The sequence below is a fragment of the Homo sapiens genome, chromosome 7, assembly GCF_000001405.40.
Source record: "Homo sapiens chromosome 7, GRCh38.p14 Primary Assembly".
NCBI lineage: Eukaryota > Metazoa > Chordata > Mammalia > Primates > Hominidae > Homo > Homo sapiens.
In genome coordinates, this window is record NC_000007.14 from 97,115,116 (window position 1) to 97,135,972 (window position 20,857).

At 39.9% G+C, this 20,857-nt stretch overlaps 1 protein-coding gene and 1 pseudogene across 1 annotated transcript in view, besides 3 other annotated features; one reads left to right on the top strand and one right to left on the bottom strand.

The window, feature by feature from the left end:
* Nucleotides 2,241-2,320: an enhancer, noted in NCBI's record as "active region_26300". NCBI's record gives its function as "activates an Ori minimal core promoter by ATAC-STARR-seq in GM12878 lymphoblastoid cells {active_cell/tissue: GM12878}" and the evidence as "EXISTENCE:reporter gene assay evidence [ECO:0000049][PMID:35858748]".
* Nucleotides 2,583-20,857, top strand: part of SDHAF3 (succinate dehydrogenase complex assembly factor 3) — a 64,066-nt gene continuing 45,791 nt past the window's right edge. Inside the window, exon 1 of the mRNA NM_020186.3 lies at nucleotides 2,583-2,782. Within this exon, the coding sequence (NP_064571.1) occupies nucleotides 2,609-2,782 (174 nt within the window). The 5' untranslated portion in view covers nucleotides 2,583-2,608. The remainder of the gene's footprint in view (nucleotides 2,783-20,857) is intronic.
* Nucleotides 2,671-2,760: an enhancer, noted in NCBI's record as "active region_26301". NCBI's record gives its function as "activates an Ori minimal core promoter by ATAC-STARR-seq in GM12878 lymphoblastoid cells {active_cell/tissue: GM12878}" and the evidence as "EXISTENCE:reporter gene assay evidence [ECO:0000049][PMID:35858748]".
* Nucleotides 19,240-19,391: a silencer, noted in NCBI's record as "fragment chr7:96763667-96763818 (GRCh37/hg19 assembly coordinates)". NCBI's record gives its function as "represses an EF-1alpha promoter that drives an FKBP-Casp9 reporter gene in an ReSE screen in phorbol 12-myristate 13-acetate-treated (for megakaryocytic differentiation) K562 erythroleukemia cells {active_cell/tissue: K562(+PMA)}" and the evidence as "EXISTENCE:reporter gene assay evidence [ECO:0000049][PMID:32094911]".
* On the bottom strand, nucleotides 19,900-20,446 carry HMGB3P21 (high mobility group box 3 pseudogene 21; annotated as a pseudogene).

Consider the following 20,857-nt stretch of genomic DNA (forward strand, 5'->3'; position numbering starts at 1 on the left):
TGCCATTTTGAGCATTGATTCTCCAATGCTTTGTGGACCCTTTCTACTCTCTTTAGGCTCAATTAATTCCTTTATTTTTTAATTAATTCATTGGCAGAATGTTTTCTCACATTTTTATAAGAGTGTTGGCTCTTGAAAGAGGTATTTATTACACATGTTCTTTAACTCCAAAGGAAACCAGAAAAAAACAAACGGGGACAAGAAATCAATTTTCAATTTTACAGGGATATTAACAGATGAAGTATGGTTAGAAAAAAATTTCCTGAAGCAAAATAACCACGCTGCCATTCAATCCTTGCCATTAATGCAGTTTGTCATAATACCAAATTAAATCCATTTTTAAAAAGTTCTGTGTTTTTTAAAACACATATTTTCCCTAAATTTAAGCAAAAGGAGAAGCTCTATTCAAAGCAATAAATTCTACTTACTATTTGTATGGCACTGTGGTGGGCCCTGAAAAGGATACTAAAATGAGTAAGTACCTGCCTTCAGTAGCTGAGTGTGTCTTGTTTTTCTTTCAGAAAGTTTTTGCACAGAAAGAAGTCTGGGGTCTGTGAGACAATCACACAAATTTCAACATTTCTGCCTCTTCTTCACCAGCAGGAATATGAGGCATCTGACACCGTTAGTGAGTTTCACACATTAATTCAACAGATATTTATTGAGTGCTTACTACAGACCTAGTGCAGGTCACTAACAAATCACAAAATCCCTGCCCCTATAGAATTTGTACTCTAGTTGGGGGATAATAAATGGAGAATAAGCACATGAGTAAATTATGTAAGTAATATAGAGAGAAACAAAGCAGAGGAGGAGCATAAGAAATTCTTGGTTTGGTGAGGTTGCAACTTCAAGCAGGGTTTCAAATAGGGTTGCCAGGGAGGGTCTCATTAGAAGGGGACCTGAAGTATGCGCTGAGTGAAATAAAAGTGTTAGCCAGGAAGATACATTTGGCAAAGCACTCCAAGTAGACGGGACAGCAAGTGCCAAGGCCTCAGTTGGGAGTGTACCTGGCTTTTTAAAATATGAACTAAGAGCTAGGAGGCCAGTGTGGCTGCAACTGGCTAACTAGGGAGAAAGCAATAGGAGAAAATTTAAACCTTTAAGGGCTAGAGACTGGGCTTTACTCTGATGAAAATCCCTGGAGGCTTTTGTTGAGCAGAGGAGTGAAATGATCCGATTTACAGTTTAGATTGTTAAAAGAAAAACTTTAAACAAGTTAAATCTAATAAAGTTTATTTGCACGAGCGCACGTGCACACACACACACGATTTATGAGGCATTCATCAGGCAGCAGCACTTAACAGGGAGAGGTTCAGAGAGCTCTACCCAGCACTGTGGGCAGGCAGTATTTATAGACAGAAAAAGGAAGTGCCCCACAGAAACAGCTTGATTGCTTACAGTTGGGCTAGTCTTATTTGGGCAGGACATTATGACGTATTTGCCTTATATGCACATAGTCTGATCAGTTGGCAGCCTGTGATTGGCTGAAGCTCAGCTACTTGTCACAAGAATATACTCTCAGTTGCAGTTAATTTACATACTAAGTTAGGTTGCAGTTCCCTACATAGCAACTCAGAGTAGGGAGGAAATTTTAGGCCAAATTTAATTTAAATTATGTTGGAGCATGACCAAAGTTGGTCATGACCAGAAGCTGAACACAGATATGGAAGCTAACACAATATCCAGTGGAGAGAGATTGTGGTAGAGTACATGGGGCGAAATGGTTGATTTCTGCATTTTTGTTGGTGACGCCATCAGGATTTGCTGAAGAACCAAACGTGTGACAGGAAAGGACAACACAAGGAGCTGCCAGCTTTGGAAACCAGTTCTACTCTCAGTATTACCTTCGCAAAAGATAGAGCTTTGTAAATTTCTAGATTCCTCGTTCTTATTATCCTAGACTATTTAACCAGAATCTCCAGGGTCGTGGTCCTGGAAACAATACGTTTAAAACTCTTCCCAAGGATCCTTCAGCAGCCAACTTGACTTTGGCTAAGGAGTCCGCCAGCTCTGGGCTCACTTGGGTTGTTTGCAAGGAAGAGCCCATGCCCAGAGTATAAATTGGGAGAACAGCGCTGTGCAAAGAGCGTGGGTTGGTGAGCTAGTGGATGGCGAGATTAATCTCACTCTGATCCCTAAAGCAGGGTGCAGTAATACTCTAAATGCCTCAAATGGGTTGGGAACCATGGAAGGAATCCCGGAGGAGCCCGATCTTAACGAAGCTTTTCTCAGGCCTTTGGTAGGAGGACAGAAACGAAGTTGAATGAAAAAGACAGTGGAGTGGGACTGAGAAATGACAACGGCCCACCACAGACCTCTCTCTTTCAAGGCCTGTGTCGTCAGGACGCAGGCCAGAAGAAGCCACGACGAGGCGCAGGCGCGACTCCACGAGGGCCACGCCCCTCCTAGAGAAGGACCGACCCGTTTTCCGCCCGCAGCGGAGCTTGGGTTTCCGGGAGGACCTGATTGTGCAAGGGACCAAACCGGATAGAGGTCGCGCGCCCTCTTTCGTCTGCCTTCCGGTTCACTAATACGCAAGTTCGCAGAAGTGCGGGAACGCGCCGTCCCTCTGCGCAGGCGCAGTCGGCGGTCGGCGTGGGGCGCTATGCCGGGGCGGCACGTTTCTCGAGTCCGGGCATTGTACAAGCGCGTCTTGCAGCTGCACCGTGTTCTGCCCCCGGACCTCAAATCCCTGGGCGACCAGTACGTGAAAGACGAATTTAGGAGACATAAGACCGTTGGTTCTGACGAGGCACAGCGTTTCTTGCAAGAATGGGAGGCAAGTGACGCTCCCTTCTCTTTGCCCAAGACCTTTGGGGTTCCTCGGTGTCCAGGTTTCTAGTTCCAGTCCCCCATGCGGGGTTAAACAGAGCAGCAACCTGTTCTGTTTGAAATAGCGTAATGCTGTTCAGGTAACACTTTCCAAAGTTTCTCCCACGGGTTTCTCACTAGAGCAGATCCTGTTACTTCAGCGTCCCCAATTCAGTTCAACTTTTGAGCTCCTGCAGATGCCAGGTGCTCAAAGGGTGAGGGTAGGAGGTCACAAAAATGAGCAAGTCGTCGTTAAGTGCTCAAAAACCTCAGGAGCTTTTTGTCCTTTTAAGTGCCTTTGCACCTAGTAAGCGCCCATTAATAAATTAATGGTTCTCTTATTAGTTTTCAAATTTAAAGGCTTATTTCCGTAATTTATTATTTAATCTCAGCGCTTTTGGTTGGGTTTAAATAATTTTCTCACTTGGCTGATACAGAAATCAGGTAACATGAAAAAGATTACAAAAGGTTGGAGATTACAAACTGTGAAGGAGAAAAATGCTGGTGGCAGTTAAGTCAGGCGAAAGTTGTTTCCTCCGGTCTCAAGTCATTGTTACTTCGCCCTGCACCATTGCGCTAAATATTAAACAGACACATGCATTAGCAATAAGTCGTTTGACTTTTTTTTTTTTTTTTTGAGTAAAGGAAAAAAGATATTCAGAGTATTTCGTGGGGCTCGGGGCCCTGCAGGATTGCCCCTAGTTTTCATTTGCAAATATAAATAAATGAATGGAATTAGAGATTGGAATGACAGCTCAGATATTTGAAAGCATGAGTTGGAGCTGATATGAAAATAGAGGTAAGCGGTTCTTCGGCCTAAATAGTTGAAGGGGAGATGACTGAAGTCGGCTTTGTAAAAAAAAATCAAAAGAATGGTTAGGGTGAACACAAACTTTGCACTGACTTCCAGAATTCTTTTTTGTATAATTATTGAAGCTTTTAAGAGCGACATTTAGAACAATCGGGAAATTTAGAACTTTCTTGAAAATCATGGTGTATTTGATGTAATTCGCTTGCCTGAAGCAGGGAAGTTGAAGCTTTTCAGACACAGAGCACTTTATTTTAATAAGGTAATTTGGTTTTGGAGCCTGAAGAACTGGATTCAGATTCAGTCTCTGACATTTTAAGTGTCAGATCACATAATTTTTCTAGTCTTATTTTCTCATCTATAAAATAATAAGTGTTTATGCATCTCAAAATTTACGTATGTAAATGTATTTACAAGCACTTGTGTATTGCTAATTGTTATGAAGCTATAAGATACTGTATTAAAGTATTTTACATCTTTTATGGTAGGTCATTTTGTGGCCGTACAGGAAGGAGAGTAGCTCTCTGTTGGGAGGAAATAAGGTTATTTTAAGAAGTCTTAAAATGTAAGCACATGGAAGCCTCTTTGGGAAAAAGTAGGAAAGAGTAGCAACTCAGAAAAAATTGATAATAGGTTGTAGGAGAGAGAGAGGGTATAAAAAAGAACTGCATAAATAAAAAATGTGTTAGTTGACCTAGTAGGCTTGGTAACTGGGATTGAGCTTTTTAAAACTTGGAATAATTTTAGACATACAGAAGAGTTAGAAAGACAGTAGAGAGTTCCCTACATCCTGTTTCCCCCTGTGTTAGCATCTTACATAATCAGGGTACAGTGATCAAAAACAAGAAATTAACATTGCTACAATGCTGTTAACTACAGACTTTATTTACAATTTGCCAGCCCTTTCACTAATGTCCTTATTCTGTTCCAGGATCCAATGGGGATTCTACAATGCATTTAGTTATTCTTTTTCCTTAATCTCCATTCTGTGACAGTTGCTCCGTCTTCCTATCTTTCATTACCTTGATACTTTTTTGAAAAGTACTAGTCTGTTACTTTGTGGAATGTATCTCAATTTGAGTTTGTCTGATGTTTTCTCATGGTTAAATTGATGTTATGCATTTCATAACATCTCAGTAAGAATACCACATGGGCAAAGTGTTCGCCTCAACACTTAATGTCAGAGGGCACATGATACTAACATGACTTCTTACTGGTGATGATAACTGTGATCACTTGGTTAAAGTAATAATCCACGTGGTGTCTCTACTGTAAACTTACTATTTTCTCTTTTGAAATTAATACATATTTGGGGGTAGGTACTCTCAGGCTTTCAGATGATTACTAGTCTTAGCATTCATTGATGGATTTTGCCATTGTGTTCCAATGGTGGCTCTTTTGTTTCCCTCATTCCTTCTGAATTTATTAGTTGACACGCGTCTGTAGAGAACAGTTTTCCTGTCTTCCCCGACCATTGTTGATCTACTGGAATTAATGAATTGGCAGCTGGGTAAAGATAAATTTAAACGTAGTAATCTCTTTGTATAACATAATTATCACAGTTACAAGGCAGCTTAATCTAAGCCTGGGAGTTAGACGTGGTAGGTTGGATCCTACCAGGAAAGATACTTGAAGAACTGGTCTTTTTGAAAGAGTAGGGCTAGAGAAGATGCTAATGATTGGAGGGGAGAAAAACCTGGCTAGAGAAGTTTTATCACCAGAGAGTAATATACTTAAGACTTCCAAGTCTTTTTCCCCCCCACCTGTTCTTCAAAATATCTAATTTATGATTATGTTATACTAGATACTGCTAGACATGACATGGATTTTTATGCCTTTATTTTTCAGTTAGTGCTCATTACAAACTTGGCACCTGTTGTTTGAATATAACTTAATGGTTACGTTTACATCAAACTAAGAGTAACTGTTGTGGACTTCTAACTTAATATGTAGAGTCTGGTCTACACGATCCCAGTCCCTCACACACATCTAAACTTAATTATGGACTTGAATGGATTCTGAATTTGTTTTACATCAGGGGCAACGTTGGGTATAGTTGCCACTGGAGAAAAGAAAGGGATCAAGAACACTAGAGGCCCCATATTTGGAAGAGAGTTCTCTAATTCTCTTCATTTGTGATCCTGGAAAACTGGCAATATAATAGTAGAGAGAATTCAGCTGGGGGAAGTTTTTGTTCAGGGACCAAGTGGGGCAACGTGGAAGGAAAGTATTTTAAGTATAGAAATGTAAAAGCATGTTTACAGAGTAAATAGTGAATTTATGTAATTTCTCACCATAAGAGAAAAAATTTAAGTTCAGGAAGAGTTTTTGGGAATCTATGAAGGGAGAATGTACGATAACTGGTTTGTAAAATGTGCATTGTAATCTCAACTCTTAGGAGGTAACTATTAGAAGTGAAATTGAGACTCCATAGATCGGGGGTCTTACTACGGCATTTTAAAAGTTCTGACTGTGCTCATTTTTGAGGAATAGTTGTTTAAGGCTTTCTATTTTTCTCTCTGTGCCTACCACTTATTTTCTAGGAAATCAGAATAAGCATTGAAGATTAAATAGATAAAACATGTTGGTGAGAGAATATGAGACAAAGAGCACAGAAGAGTGTGCTCTCAGGAGCTACCTGAAGAGACTTCATTTATTTTTCTTTTTCTGTCCCATGTATTTTTCTGAGTTGTCTCTTGCCTAGTTCCTGTTGTTTTTCTTAAGTACCTGTTCTGTGTCTGTTGTGGAATATTTTTTAACTGTTTTGTTTCTAGAAAAAGGCAGAAACATTTTTCAGATAGTTTTGATCACTTACTATTTCCAGACAATGTGCTAGGCATTTAAGACACAAAAATGAATAATAAATGTATTTTACTTTCACAGTGTTCAAAGTTTAGTAGAAAAGGATAGACAATTGTAATATAGTATGAAAGAGTGTCTATTAAATGCTGTGGGATCAAGGAGTAATGGAGGAAGTTGAAAGCTACACAAGATGGTTAAGTCTTGAGTAGGTCAAATTTACCATATCAAAAAGAGAACCTTCTAGAAAGAGGGAATAACATATGCAGAGGCATCGAGGTAAGAAACAGTATGAGGTTTTTTGGTTTTTTTTTTTTGTTTTTTTTTTTTTTGTTTTTGAGATGGAGTCTTCGCTCTATCGCCCAGGCTGGAGTGCAGTGGCGTGATCTCAGCTTACTGCAAACTCCGCCTCCCAGGTTCATGCCATTCTCCTGCCTCAGCCTCCTGAGTAGCTGGGACTACAGGCGCCCACCACTGCGCCCAGCTAATTTTTTGTATTTTTAGTAGAGATGGGGTTTCACTGTGTTAGCCAGGATGGTATTGATCTCCCGACCTTATGATCCGCCCACCTGGGCCTCCCAAATGCTGGGATTACAGGCGTGAGCCACCGCGCCCGGCCGAAACAGTATGACTTTTTTCCAGGAACTGCAGTGTTGTGTTTGGAATTTAGTGTTTTACGCAGAAGATGAGGAAGAAATAAAGCTAAAGAGGTGGCAGGAGACAGGATATTCTGCTAAGGGTTTTAAGTTTTTATTTTGAATCATTGAAGGCTTTGTAAATGGTGGAAATGACTTAAATTACATTCTAGAAAGATCATGTTAGCAGCAATATAGAGGAATAATTGAAGTAAAAGCCTGATTGAAAGTAGGGAGAACTGTTAGTAGATGGATGTAGTAATCCCAGTCTCAAATAGGTATATACCTAAACCAAGACAGAGGCCTTGAAAATGGAGGATATAGATTTATGAGGTTTTTTTTTTTTTTCTTTTAAAGTAGAGTGGAACTTGACTTGTTGACTAATACAGTATTAGTGAAGGAGAAGAAAACAGAATGGATAACTCTCAGGTTTGGAGCATGATACCAGTAACCAGAATAGTCATATAGGAGGAACAGATTGGGAATGAGTTCAGTTTGGTGTGCTTTGTGCTAAAAATTCTCATGGACAGTTAAGTGAAGATGTTCAGAGAGATATGTGTTGGTCTGATACTCAGGAGACAGATTGTGGCTGGAGACAGAGATTTGGAAGTTATTACCTGTAGTTGGTAGACTAAAGATGTGGGTGGAAGTGCCCCTTTTGGGTATAAGTTGGTCAAAGATAGAACATTAACATTTAGGAGTTAAGAGAATGAAAGTAGTTGTATAGTGCTGGAATTTTTCTTTTCTTTTTTTTTTTTCCATCTGTATGTAGTTGTTCCTAGCTACTGCTGCAATGGAAGTACTTTTTTACTTTTTAAAATTTTATTTTAAGTTCTGGGATACATGTGCTGAACATGCAGGTTTGTTACATAGGTATACATGTACCATGGTGGTTTGCTATACCTATCAACCCATCATGTAGGTTTTAAGCCCTGCATGCATTTGGTATTTGTCCTAATGCTCTACCTCCTCTTTCCCCCCACCCCCTGAAAGGCCCAGGTATGTGATGTTCCCCTCCCTGTGTCCATGTGTTCTCATTGTTCAATTCCCACTTAGGAGTGAGAACATGAGGTTTTTGGTTTTCTGTTCCTGTATTAGTTTGCTGAGGATGATGGTTTCCAGCTTCATCCATGTCCCAGCAAAGGACATAAACTCATTCTTTTTTATGGCTGCATAGTATTCCATGATGTATATGTTCCACATTTTCGGTATCCAGCCTATCGTTGATGGATATTTGGGTTGGTTCCAAGTCTTTGCTATTGTAAATAGTGCTGCAGTAAACATACATGTGCATGTGTGTTTATAGTAGAATGATTTATAATCCTTTGGGTATATACCCAGTAGTGGGATTGCTGGGTCAAATGGTATTTCTGGTTCCAGATCCTTGAGGAATTGCCACACTGTCTTCCACAATGGTTGAAGTAATTTACACTCCCACCAACAGTGTAAAAGTGTTCCTATTTCTCCACATCCTCTCCAGCATCTGTAGTTTCCTGATGTTTTAATGATTGCCATTCTAACTGGCGTGAGATGGTATCTCATTGTGGTTTTGATTTACATTTCTCTAATGACCAGTGATGATGAGCTTTTCTTATGTTTGTTTACTGCATAAATGTCTTTTTTTTTTTTTTGAGAAGGGTGTGTTCATATCCTTCGCCCACTTTTGGATGGGTTTTTTTTTTTTCTTGTAAATTTGTTTAAGTTCCTTGTAGATTCTGGATAGTAGCCCTTTGTCAGATGGATAGATTGCAAAAATTTTCTCCCGTTCTGTAGGTTGCCTGTTCACTCTGATGGTAGTTTCTTTTGCTGAGCAGAAGCTCTTTAATTTAATTAGATCTCATTTGTCAATTTTGGCTTTCGTTGCCATTGCTGTTGGTGTTTTAGTCATGAAGTCTTTGCCCATGCCTATGTCCTGAATGGTATTGTCTAGGTTTTCTTCTAGGGTTTTTATGGTTTTAGGTTTTACGATTAAGTCTTTAATCCATCTTGAGTTGGTTGTAAAGTGTAAGGAAGGGGTCCAGTTTCTGTTTTTTGCATATGGCTAGCCAGTTTTCCCAGCACCATTTATTAAATAGGGAATCCTTTCCCCATTGCTTGTTTTTGTCAGGTTTGTCAAAGATGAGATGGTTGCAGATGTGTGGTGTTATTTCTGAGGCCTCTGTTTTGTTCTATTCATCTATATGTCTGTTTTGGTGCCAGTATCATGCTCTTGTGGTAACTGTAACCTTGTAGTAATAGTTTGAAGTCAGGTAGCGTGATGCCTTGAGCCTTGTTCTTTTTGCTTAGGATTGTCTTGGCTATGCGGGCTCCTTTTTGGTTCCACATGAAATTTAAAGTAATTTTTTTTCTAGTTCTGTGAAGAAAGTCAATGGTAGCTTGATAGGAATAGCATTGAATGTATAAATTACTTTGAGCAGTATGGCCATTTTAGCAATATTAATTCTTCCCATCCATTAGCATGGAAGGTTTTTCCATTTGTTTGTGTCCTCTCTTACTTCTTTGAGCAGTGGTTTGTAGTTCTCCTTGAAGAGGTCCTTTGTGTCTCTTGTAAGTTGTATTTCTAGGTATTTTATTTTCTTTGTAGCAATTGTGAATGGGAGTTCACTCATGATTTGGCTCTCTGTTTGTCTATTATTGGTGTATAGGAATGCATGTGATTTTTGCACATTGATTTCATATCCTGAGATTTTGCTGAAGTTGTTTATCAGCTTAAGGAGTTTTTGGGCTGAGACGATGGGGTTTTCTAAATACACAATCAGGTCATCTGCAAACAGTTTGACTTCCTCTCTTCTTATTTGAATACGTTTTATTTTTTTCTCTTGCCTGATTGCTCTGGCCAGAACTTCCAATACTACGTTGAATAGGAGTGGTGAGAGAGGTCATCATTGTCTAGTGCTGGTTTTCAAAGGGAATGCTTTATCATTTTTATTGTGTCTATTTGATTCTTCTCTCTTTTCTTCTTTATTAGTCTGGCCAGCGGTCTATTTTGTTAATCTTTTCAAAAAAACGGCTCCGATTCATGGATTTTTTTGAAGGGTTTTTCATGTCTCTCCTTCAGTTCTGGTCTGATCTTAGTTATTTCTTGTCTTCTGCTAGTTTTTGAATTTGTTTGCTCTTGTTTGCCTAGTTCTTTTAATTGTGACCGTAGGGTGTCAATTTTAGGCGTTTCTCACTTTCTGATGTGGGCATTTAGTGCTATAAATTTCCCTCTAAACACTGCTTTAGCTGTGTCCCAGAGATTCTGGTACATTGTCTCTTTGTTCTCATTGGTTTCAAAGAAACCACTTTCAGGAACCTCAATCAATCGTAGGCTTGGTCTTTTCACATAGTCCCATATTTCTTGGAGTCTTTGTTCATTCCTTTTCATTCTTTTTTCTCTAATATTGTCTCCATGCCTTATTTCAGTAAGTTGATCTTCAATCTCTGATATCCTTTCTTCCTCTTTGTTGATTTGGCTCTTGATACTTGTGTATGCTTCATGAAGTTTTCATGCTGTGTTTTTCATCTCCATCAGGTCATTTATGTTCTTCTCTAAACTGGTTATTGTGTTAGCAGTTCCTGTAACCTTTTGTCAGAGTTCTTAGCTTCCTTGCATTGGGTTAGAACATGCCTCCGTAGCTCAGAGGAGTTTGTTATTACCTACCTTCTGAAGCCTACTTCTGTCAATTCATCAAACTCATTCTCCATCCAGTTTTGTGTCCTTGCTGGAGAGGAGTTGCAATCATTTGGAGGAGAAGAAGCATTCTGGTTTTTGGAATTTGCAGCATTTTTGTGCTGGTGTTTCCTCATCTTCATGGATTTACTTTGGATGGGGTTTTGTGTGAGGGTCTTTTTTGTTGCTGTTCATGTTGCTGCTTTCTGTTTGTTTTTCTTCTAATAGGCCCCTCTTCTGCAGATCTGCTGCAGTTTGCTGGAGGTCTACTCCAGACCCTATTTGCCTGGGTATTACCAGCAGAGGCTGCAGAACAGCAAAGATTGCTGCCTGCTCTTTCCTCTGGAAGCTTCGTCCCAGAGGGGCACCAGCCTGATGCCAGCCAGAGCTCTCCTGTATGAGGTGTCTGTCAACCCCTGTTGGGAGGTCTCTTCCAGTCAGGAGGCATGGGGGTCAAAGACCCAGTTGAGGAAGCAGTCTGTCCCTTAGTGGAGCTCAAGCACCGTCCTGCGAAAGCCCTCCTTGTCAGCATCCGCTGCTCTCTTCAGAGCCGTCAGGCAGGAACATTTAAGTCTGCTGAAGTTGTGCCCACAGCTGCCCCTTCCCCCAGGTGCTGTGGCCCAGGGAGATGGGAGTTTTATCTGTAAGCCCCTGATTGGGGCTGCTGCCTTTGTTTCAGAGATGCCCTGCCCAGTGAGGAGGAATCTAGAGAGGCAGTCTGGCCACAGCTGCTTTGCTGCGTTACGTTGAGTTCCTCCCAGTCCTTAGTACTGTCAGAGGAAAACAGCCTACTCAAGCCTCAGTAATGGCAGATGCCCCTCCCCCCACCAAGCTGTGTCATCCCTGGTCGACTTCAGACTTGTGCTGGCAGCGAGAAATTCAAGCCAGTGGTTCTTAGCTTGCTGGCCTTCATGGGAGTGGGACCTGCTGAGCGAGACCACTTGGTTCCCTGGCTTCAGCTCCCTTTCCAGGCAAGTGAACGGTTCTGTCTTGCCTGGGTTCCAGGCACCACTGGAGTACCGAAAAAAAAAAAAAAAAACCCTGCAGCTAGCTCGGTGTCTGCCCGAATAGCTGCCCAGCTTTGAGCTTGAAACCCAGGGCCTTGGTGGTGTAGACACACGAGGGAATCTCCTGGTCTTCGGATTACAAAAATCATGGGAAAAGCATAGTATCTGGGCCGGATAGCACAGTCCCTCATGGCTTCCCTTGGCTGGGAAAGGGAGCCCCTCACCTCCCCGCAACTCCTTGCGCTTCCTGGGTGAGGCAACACCCCATGCTGCTTCTGCTCGCCCTCCATGGGCTGCACCCACTGCCTAACCAGTCCCAGTGAGATGAACAGGGTACCTTAGTTGGAAATGGAGAAATCACCTGCCTTATGTATTGGTCTTGCTTGGAGCTGCCAACCAGAGCTGTTCCTATTTGGCTATCTTGCCAGATCCAAGAGAATCCATTTTCTTTTTCTTCTCTTCAAGTAAAGGCAATGATCCCGGTATCACGGACTGACTGTAACTGCTCTTCTTGATTATGTTCAATTCTTTATACTTGTGTGATAATTTAGTTATTATAACATTTTCTTTCCCATTTTATTTTGTTGCATTTGTTCGAGAGGAGGAAATGCTTCAGACTTCAGGTAGCCATTCCTTTGTAACTCTCATGGGATGTCTTTTTCTTATATATGATTTTGAAGTGGATCATCATTTGTATGTATGTATCATATATACACATGTATTATTAAGTGGCATGTCACCTATATTTAGAGTTTCCTTAGTATAATTAGGATTGGATGGGTATTTGGCTAGTTTTTATAAATGTATGCTTCTCTTACCTAATTTGTGGACCTCATTTTGTTACTCTTGAACATCTTGATTTATAGTTTTAGCTTGCAGGAGAAAAGGAATGAATTGCTTCTCTGTTTAGTGAATGGATTGTATGTGTCAGGGATACATTTCCCAAGTATGAGTGGGTCAGTTGGGTCTCAGTCAAATTGTTAATTCTGCATTTTACTCATTGTCGGTGTTTTTGTGATGGTTTATTGAATGGTGATTTGTCACACATATATGTTTTCTACATCAAGTTTTTTTTTTTTTTTTTTTTTTTGACTGAGTCTCCCTCTGTCGCTGAGGCTGGAGTGCAGTGGCACTGCGTCGGCTCACTGCAACCTCCTTCTCCTGGGTTCAAGCAGTTCTCCTGCCTCAGCCTCCCAAGTAGCTGGGATTACAGGCGTCCACCACATCTGGCTAGTTTTTATATTTTTAGTAGAGATGGGGTTTCACCATGTTGGCCAGGCTGGTCTCAAACTCCTGACACCAAGTGATCCACTTGCCTCGGCCTCCCAAAGTCAAGTTTTAACTTTTAAAACATTTTAACCATACTGTGGTCCTTAACTAATGGTTTAAAAAGGGGTACAAGAGAAGATACAAAACAGTTTATCCTTGCAACATAGAATGTTTTCTACTTTTTCATGTCTGAAACACTTGCATTATTAGTGAAGCTTTTAAGATATTACTACTTAGGAATATTTAATTTTTATTGGTGTTATAAAATGTGTTATAACAATGCTCATGATAAAGTAACAAAGTAAAAATTATAGTTTGATCAATATTGCATATATTATTGACTTTATGGTATGTTACTGGAAGACAGGTGTATGTTTCTTTTATTTAAATGATTCAAAATTTTCAGATTTAAAATAATGGTAATAGCATGATAATGTTAATATGCTAGTGGTCATAGTTCTGAAACATTGTGTGTGTAGAGGTATGTGTATAGGTAATGTGCAATCTTAAAATTTGAAGTTTTTGTACAAATTTAAGGTGATAAAAATTATATATGCATGAAAGGAAAATAAAAAGAAATTAAAATTCATGAAAAATATGGGAAAGAATATGTGGATAATATTAATTTTCCTTATTACTATTTTATTAAATAAATGTAGTTTATGGTTGCTTAATAAGAACACTGTATACAACTGAAGTTTTACATAGGGAGTAGAATTAACTGAAAGAGAGCTTCTGATTGTTTTGTTAAGCCCCTGTTTTTCAGTTGGTGCACTTTTTTTTTCCTTTGAGATAGGATCTTGCTCTGTTGCCCAGTCTGCTCTCGAACTCCTAGGCTCAAGTGATCCTCCTGCCTCAGCCTCCTTAGTAGCAGAGATTAACTTTTTTCTTAAATTGAAGTAGTAGATACATATGGCTTAGAATAATTAATTAGTGTAGAAGGGCTTATAATAAAAAGCAGTGTACTCTTTCCTGTTTATCTCTTCAAAGGGGACATTTTTTGTTTTATTTTGGTCTCTTTCATGTTCCAAATGTCTTGAGAATTTTGGTTATCTGTCCATATTTATGAATAAAACAATAAGAAACTAACCAAGAACTATACATATAGATAGGCTTGTTGATTGGGAAATTACTTTTAGGTTAATCTTGCCTGTATTTGCTTCCTGCTCCTGATTTCCTACCTACCTGGTGTTTGAGTTCACTTGGTTTTGGCAGTTTGGCTGTCTCTTTAAGTGTATTCTCTGTTTGTATTCGGAACTGTGGCCTCCTGTGTCTGCTTTGGTTCATTATTTACACTGTTCTGCTTTCCATCTTCAGAAAATCTGTTGAAATTGCTTGGCTGCTAATGGCTCCATTCTTGTTCTCTAGTCATTATGGATTATTCCTTTTAAAAATTGCTTTACTGCTAGTTTAGTCTGGCTTTGGAAGGGAGAGGAGATAAAAAATAAGCTCTCGTGATATCCCCAGTCTGCCATCTTTACTTGGAAATCCTTTCATGTTAAAGATGAAGAAACTAAGGCCTATAGAAGTAAAATGACTTGTTTGATACTGATGCAGGATTTTTTCAGTGCCGCTTTGCCAGCCAGAAATCTCTGGCCGGCAGCACCCCTGCCCAGGCCTCACTTAGTTCTGAGCTGGCCACTAGTCTCTATGCTCTGCCCACCCAGGCTGGCAGGCTGCGCTCAGCTTATGCTACCAGCCTGGATCCCATGTCTGCTGAGGGCGAGCCAGGCACAGAGCAGCAAAGGATATGTGAGCAAGCGAGTGTGGGATCCAGCCATGGTGCACAGCCAGGTGTGCTGGCTGCTGTGGTGGGTCTGCGGTGGGATGGGCAGCTTCAGGCACTGGCTTCGTGCGAGGCTGTGGCTGGACCAGGCATACCACAGCAGCTTCCACCTTGGGTGCCAGCATCAGGATGAGGAGAAGGCAGTGGAGCCCGAAAACTTGGAGATGCGAGGAACTGTGGAGCCCCAAAGGGGGCATTACAGCATGTGAAATCTCGTCTCTATTAAAAATATAAAAACTATCCGGATGTGGTGGTGGATGCCTGTAATCCCAGCTACTCAGGAGGCTAAGGCAGGAGAATTGCTTGAATCCTGGAGAAGGTGGTTGCAGTGAGCCCACACAGTGCCACTGCACTCCAGCCTCGGTGACGGAGTGATACCCAGTCTAAAAAAAAAAAAAAAAACCTTGATGTAGAAAACATATATGTGTGACAAATCACCATTCAATAAACCATCACAAAAACACCGACAATGAGTAAACAAGACAGCTTATTTCTGCTGTCTGCAGCCTACCAAACTGGGGCATGTTACAGCTCTGGCTCGGGAAGTCCTGGGGTCTGGTCCCCCAGAAGGGTCCTAGCTCTTCTTTTGTAGTCCAGCTGGTGGGAGTGTGTCACTGCCTGCAGCTGGGTGAGCTGATCAGCTTGTTCATGTTACAGCTTGTTCATTCCCACTGCCCTGCTCTGGCCTGTGGCTCTTGGGCTGGCCCCACCCCTCCAATGCTTCCTGTCACGTGTGGCCGCAGCCCTGTGATGGCAGAGGGTGGGAGGGCTACGACCATTTGGCAGGTCCCAGGTTCTTGTCCCGCATCCAGGAAGAATAGGGTTATGGGGACAACCACATAGTGAGTAAGGTGGAGAAGAGTTTTATTCCAGTCTCCACACAAGAGGGGACCTGAAGTGGATAGTATTCCCTACCTGAAGGGGGATAGTCTCCACCTGTGTCTGAGTCCAGGGGTTTTTATGGGCTCAGAATGGAGGAGTGTATGCTGATTGGTCCATGGGCAGGCCTGGAAAAAACACCATTTGATTGGCTGAAAAGGCAGGGAGGAAGTTCTCTATCTGGTCATGGACTTTGCCAGGAACTGGCAGCTCGGTTTTCAGGCTCCAGGCTGTTTTTGGCTTGAAAGTCAGTTTCATTGGACCTGCCCTTGTCTGCCTAGGAATTTGTCTGTCTCCTGCTGCTATCAGTATCATATAGCTAGATAGGACAAAAATGTTGTGTTCTTAGTTTATGAAGGTCTAGTCAAGATTTAAAATTAGTGTTTCCAAAAAACTATTAAACTTTTGTGCTGTAAGATGATTACAGATTTTTTCCTTTGAATCTTGCTTGTTTGCTTGTTACAATTTGTCTATTTGATTCTTCAGTTTTTATATTTTTCCTGAGGGAAAAGATATCTTCTTAATCATCTTTTTATCTTCTACACTTCTAGCACAATATCTTGTAAATCAGTGTCTAAATATTATTTAAGTAATAATTTGTTTTTATGTTTATTAGCCTGAAGTGCTAATTGCCTGATATTTCTATTTGAAAGATTGTTTTCAGTAATGAGATGAGAATGGAAATTGCTGGGCTGTAACTGTTAAACTTTTTAAATAATCAGGCACATATTTGTTTTGTGTGTGATTTTTTGAAAGGTTTCTTTGGGCCTTAGTTGTCTCAAGAGGGAAAATATATTTTACCCCTGAATTAGGGATGGACCAAAAGTTCCTTTTTACCTCTTAAGATGTGATTATATTATGAGGTGAGTTAAACTATTGAATCAAATGGCTTGGTTAAATTATAAAGACAAATAGAATGTTTGGGATTAATATGTGATTGGTCACATTAATATGAAAAGAACTTATTTAGCTCAATAGGAAAAAACTTAAAGCTTTACTAAAAGAAATGGGCAAAAGAGACTCTAATAGGTCATTCTGTGATTTACGTACAAAGATGTTAATTGCTGTGTTGCATATCTATAGTAAAGTGAGAATTTTAAATTACTGTAGATATCCAATGATAGAATAATGAAATTATAGCCACATGATGGATGGGTTAGTATGCAGTTATTAGAAATGGTGTTTCAGAAGAACTAATAACATGGAAAAACTGTAACATAATTACATATAAACTTTATCTTTGGATGATAAGATTGATTGTAATTTTCTTCTGTGTACCTCAGATTTTCTTGATTATCTGTAAAAATCAGGTGTTACTTTAGTAATTATAAGAAAGTTATTAAGGACAATTTTTAAAATGCACTGGATGTAGTTAATATTTTTACCAGTCTTTTTCACAAAGGACTTGAGGCAGACATGCTCAGTGAGTCAGCTACTAGCGCCTTATATATACATTTCCTAATTTTGCCTTTAAAATTTTGTAGGTTCAACTCAGACTTTTTCATGTTTAATAAATGTTAATGTCATCTATATATTTTGTATGATTTCTTGTTGAGTTTTGTAAATGAAATAAATGAAAATCTAAACGTGTAGATTCAAAATGTATCTAAGTATTTCTTTTTTACGTAACCGTTAGAAAAAATATTTGGAGTCTATAGGGCTCTAAACTGAGATCAGAAAATCATCATGGTTATCTATTTGGTACCTATCATCAGTGTCATCTATCTGGTCTAGTATTATGTCTTGTTAAGCAATGTGAATAATCTTATGTTTAATTTCTTACAGATCATACTTAAATATTCAATGATTTTCCACTAAATTTGATAAAAATTAAGTTACCATGTAGTAACTGTATTCCATTTTAATTTTTTACCTTTTTCCCCTATGTTTTATAGAAGGTGAATGAAGGCTGTCAGTGAGGTAGGATTGGGAGGGGATATAGGTTAACTGTTGGTTTGTCTTCTTCTGACACATCAATCAGGGAGGGTGGAAGACAGGTAAATAGGCTCCCCTTGGCTTAGAAACCAGTAGGCTTCAGAAAGATATTCTAGGTAGCTATGTGCCACCTTGATTGTGATCATATAGGGTCTGGTAATTGATCTTATAGTCTGGAGTTGGACTTTACCAACATAACCAGAAATGATCAGATTTTTGGCAGCAGACTCACATTACTTAAATTTGTATAACATTGAAATATAAATAAGAATACTGATTTATTTTTTCTGCTGCTAGGGGAGTGGGGGCTTGTGAAGAGGGCTCTCATTTCCAGGAGTTAGAATATTTATATTTACTTCCAGGGGAAACCTTTTCAGATATGTCTCAGAATCATGTATTTTTTTTAGATTTTAGAAAGTGAAGAAGTAATATTTAGTGAATTTTAAGAAACACCGAGTGGGATCTAGGGTGGTACTGTAATCAAATACATTAGTATGTCTGCAGAAAAAATTTGAATATTCACAGTAAGTGGAGTAAATAAAGACTTTATGTACATTTATGTCAGGATTTGCTGCCAGATAAGTTCTGAAAGAGCTTTTGTTTTTAAGAACTTCTTTGACTTCAGGGGATTGTGGACCTCTATTAAGCTTTCTGGGAAACTGAATTAGTGTTTAGAAGGTTGCCTGGTAAACATGGAATTAAAATGACAGGGAGTGGGTAGGCGTGAGAGCTTTTTTCATCAGACCTCACTGTGTCTGCAGTAGAAAACATCCCTTTAGTGATTATTTTTGTGGGTCCTACAGCTTCGTTGCCCTTTTTTCCTGAACAGTACTGAATGCATATTGTAAGTTTGCCCTCAATCCTTTATTTTTAGGTTTACCACCTTCTTTCTGTTGAGGTATTATTGTTACTATTACACGTGTTAATGGATTAAACTACTTCTTACTTATTTTTCCTAGGCCTGAAAAATTTCAGATTCTTCTCTTTGTGTGTAAATTTAATTAGCTTAACCCTAGAGGAGGGAGAATGGTATTTGCCTCATTTACAAGTTTGTGTTCTTCTTTACTCCTAAATCAGTGTAACTCAAAGCATTTCTAAAGTAAATTGCACTTTGCTTTCAGAGCTCTAAAACACTAAAATATTTGTGCTTTATTCGAATAGATTTAAAAATTATAGTATGGTTTATTTTCCTTTAAAAGACATTTCATTGTTATAAACACACAAACAAAAACCCAAGGCCAAAACTGGAATATTATTGTACATGTCATAGGTTAAGTAGGAACAGTTTCTGGACTTTGGTGCAATAACTCTTTACTGACGAAGAGGTCTATAGTTTGTTTAAGAACTATCCCACTTAAAAACCAATCCATACACTTTTCATGCAGCTGACTCCCTCCCCCCTTTCCAAAGCTCAGAATGGCAGCAGATGATACAGCAAACACGTTACTGCAAAAACAGCTACAGCAGCTACCTGGGTGAGATGGCTGCCACCTGCAGCCTCAGTGAATCTGGCTTCACACCACATGCCTTGAATGTGGCCCCTCCCAAAAGTAACATGTTTATTGCCTCACACTTCCAATCATGGGCCTCAAGAGTTTGTGATTTATTTATTTTATAAGCTATAGATATATATAACTGATAACTCTGGATTACTGGTGAATAACCAGAATGAACACCACTTTAAAAGAAAAATGCTGTGACTATCATTAAATGCTTTTATAAGACTAAGAGAAAGATGCACAGAGTGAAAAGAACTTTCGTTTTTGAGACGGAGTCTTGCTGTGTCTCCCAGGCTGGAGTGCAGTGGCATGATCTTGGCTCACTGCAACCTCCACCTCCCAGGTTCATGTGATTCTCCTGCCTCAGCCCCCCAAGTAGCTGGTATTACAAGTGCCTGCCAACATGCCTGGCTAATTTTTGTATTTTTAGTAGATATGAGGTTTCAGTATGTTGGCCAGGCTGGTCTTGAACTCCTGACCTCAGATGACCCGTCTGCCTTGGCCTCCCAAAGTGCTGGGGTTACAGGTGTGAGCCACCTCACCCAGCTGAGAAGATGTTCTTACTTTAAAATGTTTGGACATTTTTGCAAGTTTGATACAGTTTCTGGGTGCTCATAACACCCCTGACTGTTTAATGCACATACTTAAGATTTTCAGAACACTTTTAGAGAAACTGACATGTGATCATATTCTAATTTTGTAATTAAATCTAGTAAGGGCAGAGACATTCTCAGAGAGGTGTATTATGATGTTTTCCCTACTCTGGATTTTACATGGAAAGAGATGCTCAGTTTTATTTCTTCTTCATACCCCCTTCCTTTAACCCTCTCTTTCTCCTGTCTGTCATCCTGTTCATCCTACTCCTCTTTTTTTTTTTTCCCCCCAAGGAACTTTAGCTTTCTCCTTTGCACTGTCAAATTTTCCTGAAGTGGCTACATCCTTGTCATATTTCTCATTGAGCTTTACCCCCTTATTATTGTAAGGCTGCTTTTTGTTATCAGTAAGGGTACTCTACATCATACCTAACATTTTGGTCTTCAGTTAAGATGCCAGTGTTTGTGGATTTGTTCTTAGGATACAACTCTAAACAGAACAAGAAGCTAGCTGGCAGTGATAGTTTGTGGACATTAGGATCCTTCTTCCTGCCTCTCTTAGCTGCTCCAAAATGCTTCATTTCCAGATCATCAAATTTAGATTCCTTTCTTAGACGTTGTCTCTGACCTGCAAGAGGACTTCTTAAAAACCTGCAACACTAATGGGGATCTCTGGATTTTTCTTTTTGTACTTCTGGCCTATACAAAGAAGGGAAAGTAGATCTTAGCCCATTGGTTTCTTGGGGTCACCTTTAGTCATTATTGACTGCATTATTTGCTAGTCCCCATATGTGTGTGTGTGTGTGTGTGTCTGTGTGTGTGTGTGTGTGAGATGTATGTGCGTGCGTGTGTGTGTGTGTGTGTGTGTGTGTGTGTGTATATATATATATATTTTTTTTTTTTTTTTTTTTTGGGAGACAGAGTCTCACTCTGTCGCCCAGGCTGGAGTGCAGTGGCTCAATCTCGGCTCACTGCAAGCTCCGCCTCCCAGGTTCACACCATTCTTCTGCCTCAGCCTCCTGAGTAGCTGGGACTACAGGCGCCCGCCACCACGCCTGGCTAATTTTTTGTATTTTTAGTAGAGACGGGGTTTCACCGTGTTAGCCAGGATGGTCTCGATCTCCTGACCTCGTGATCCGCCCGCCTCGGCCTCCCAAAGTGCTGGGATTACAGGTGTGAGC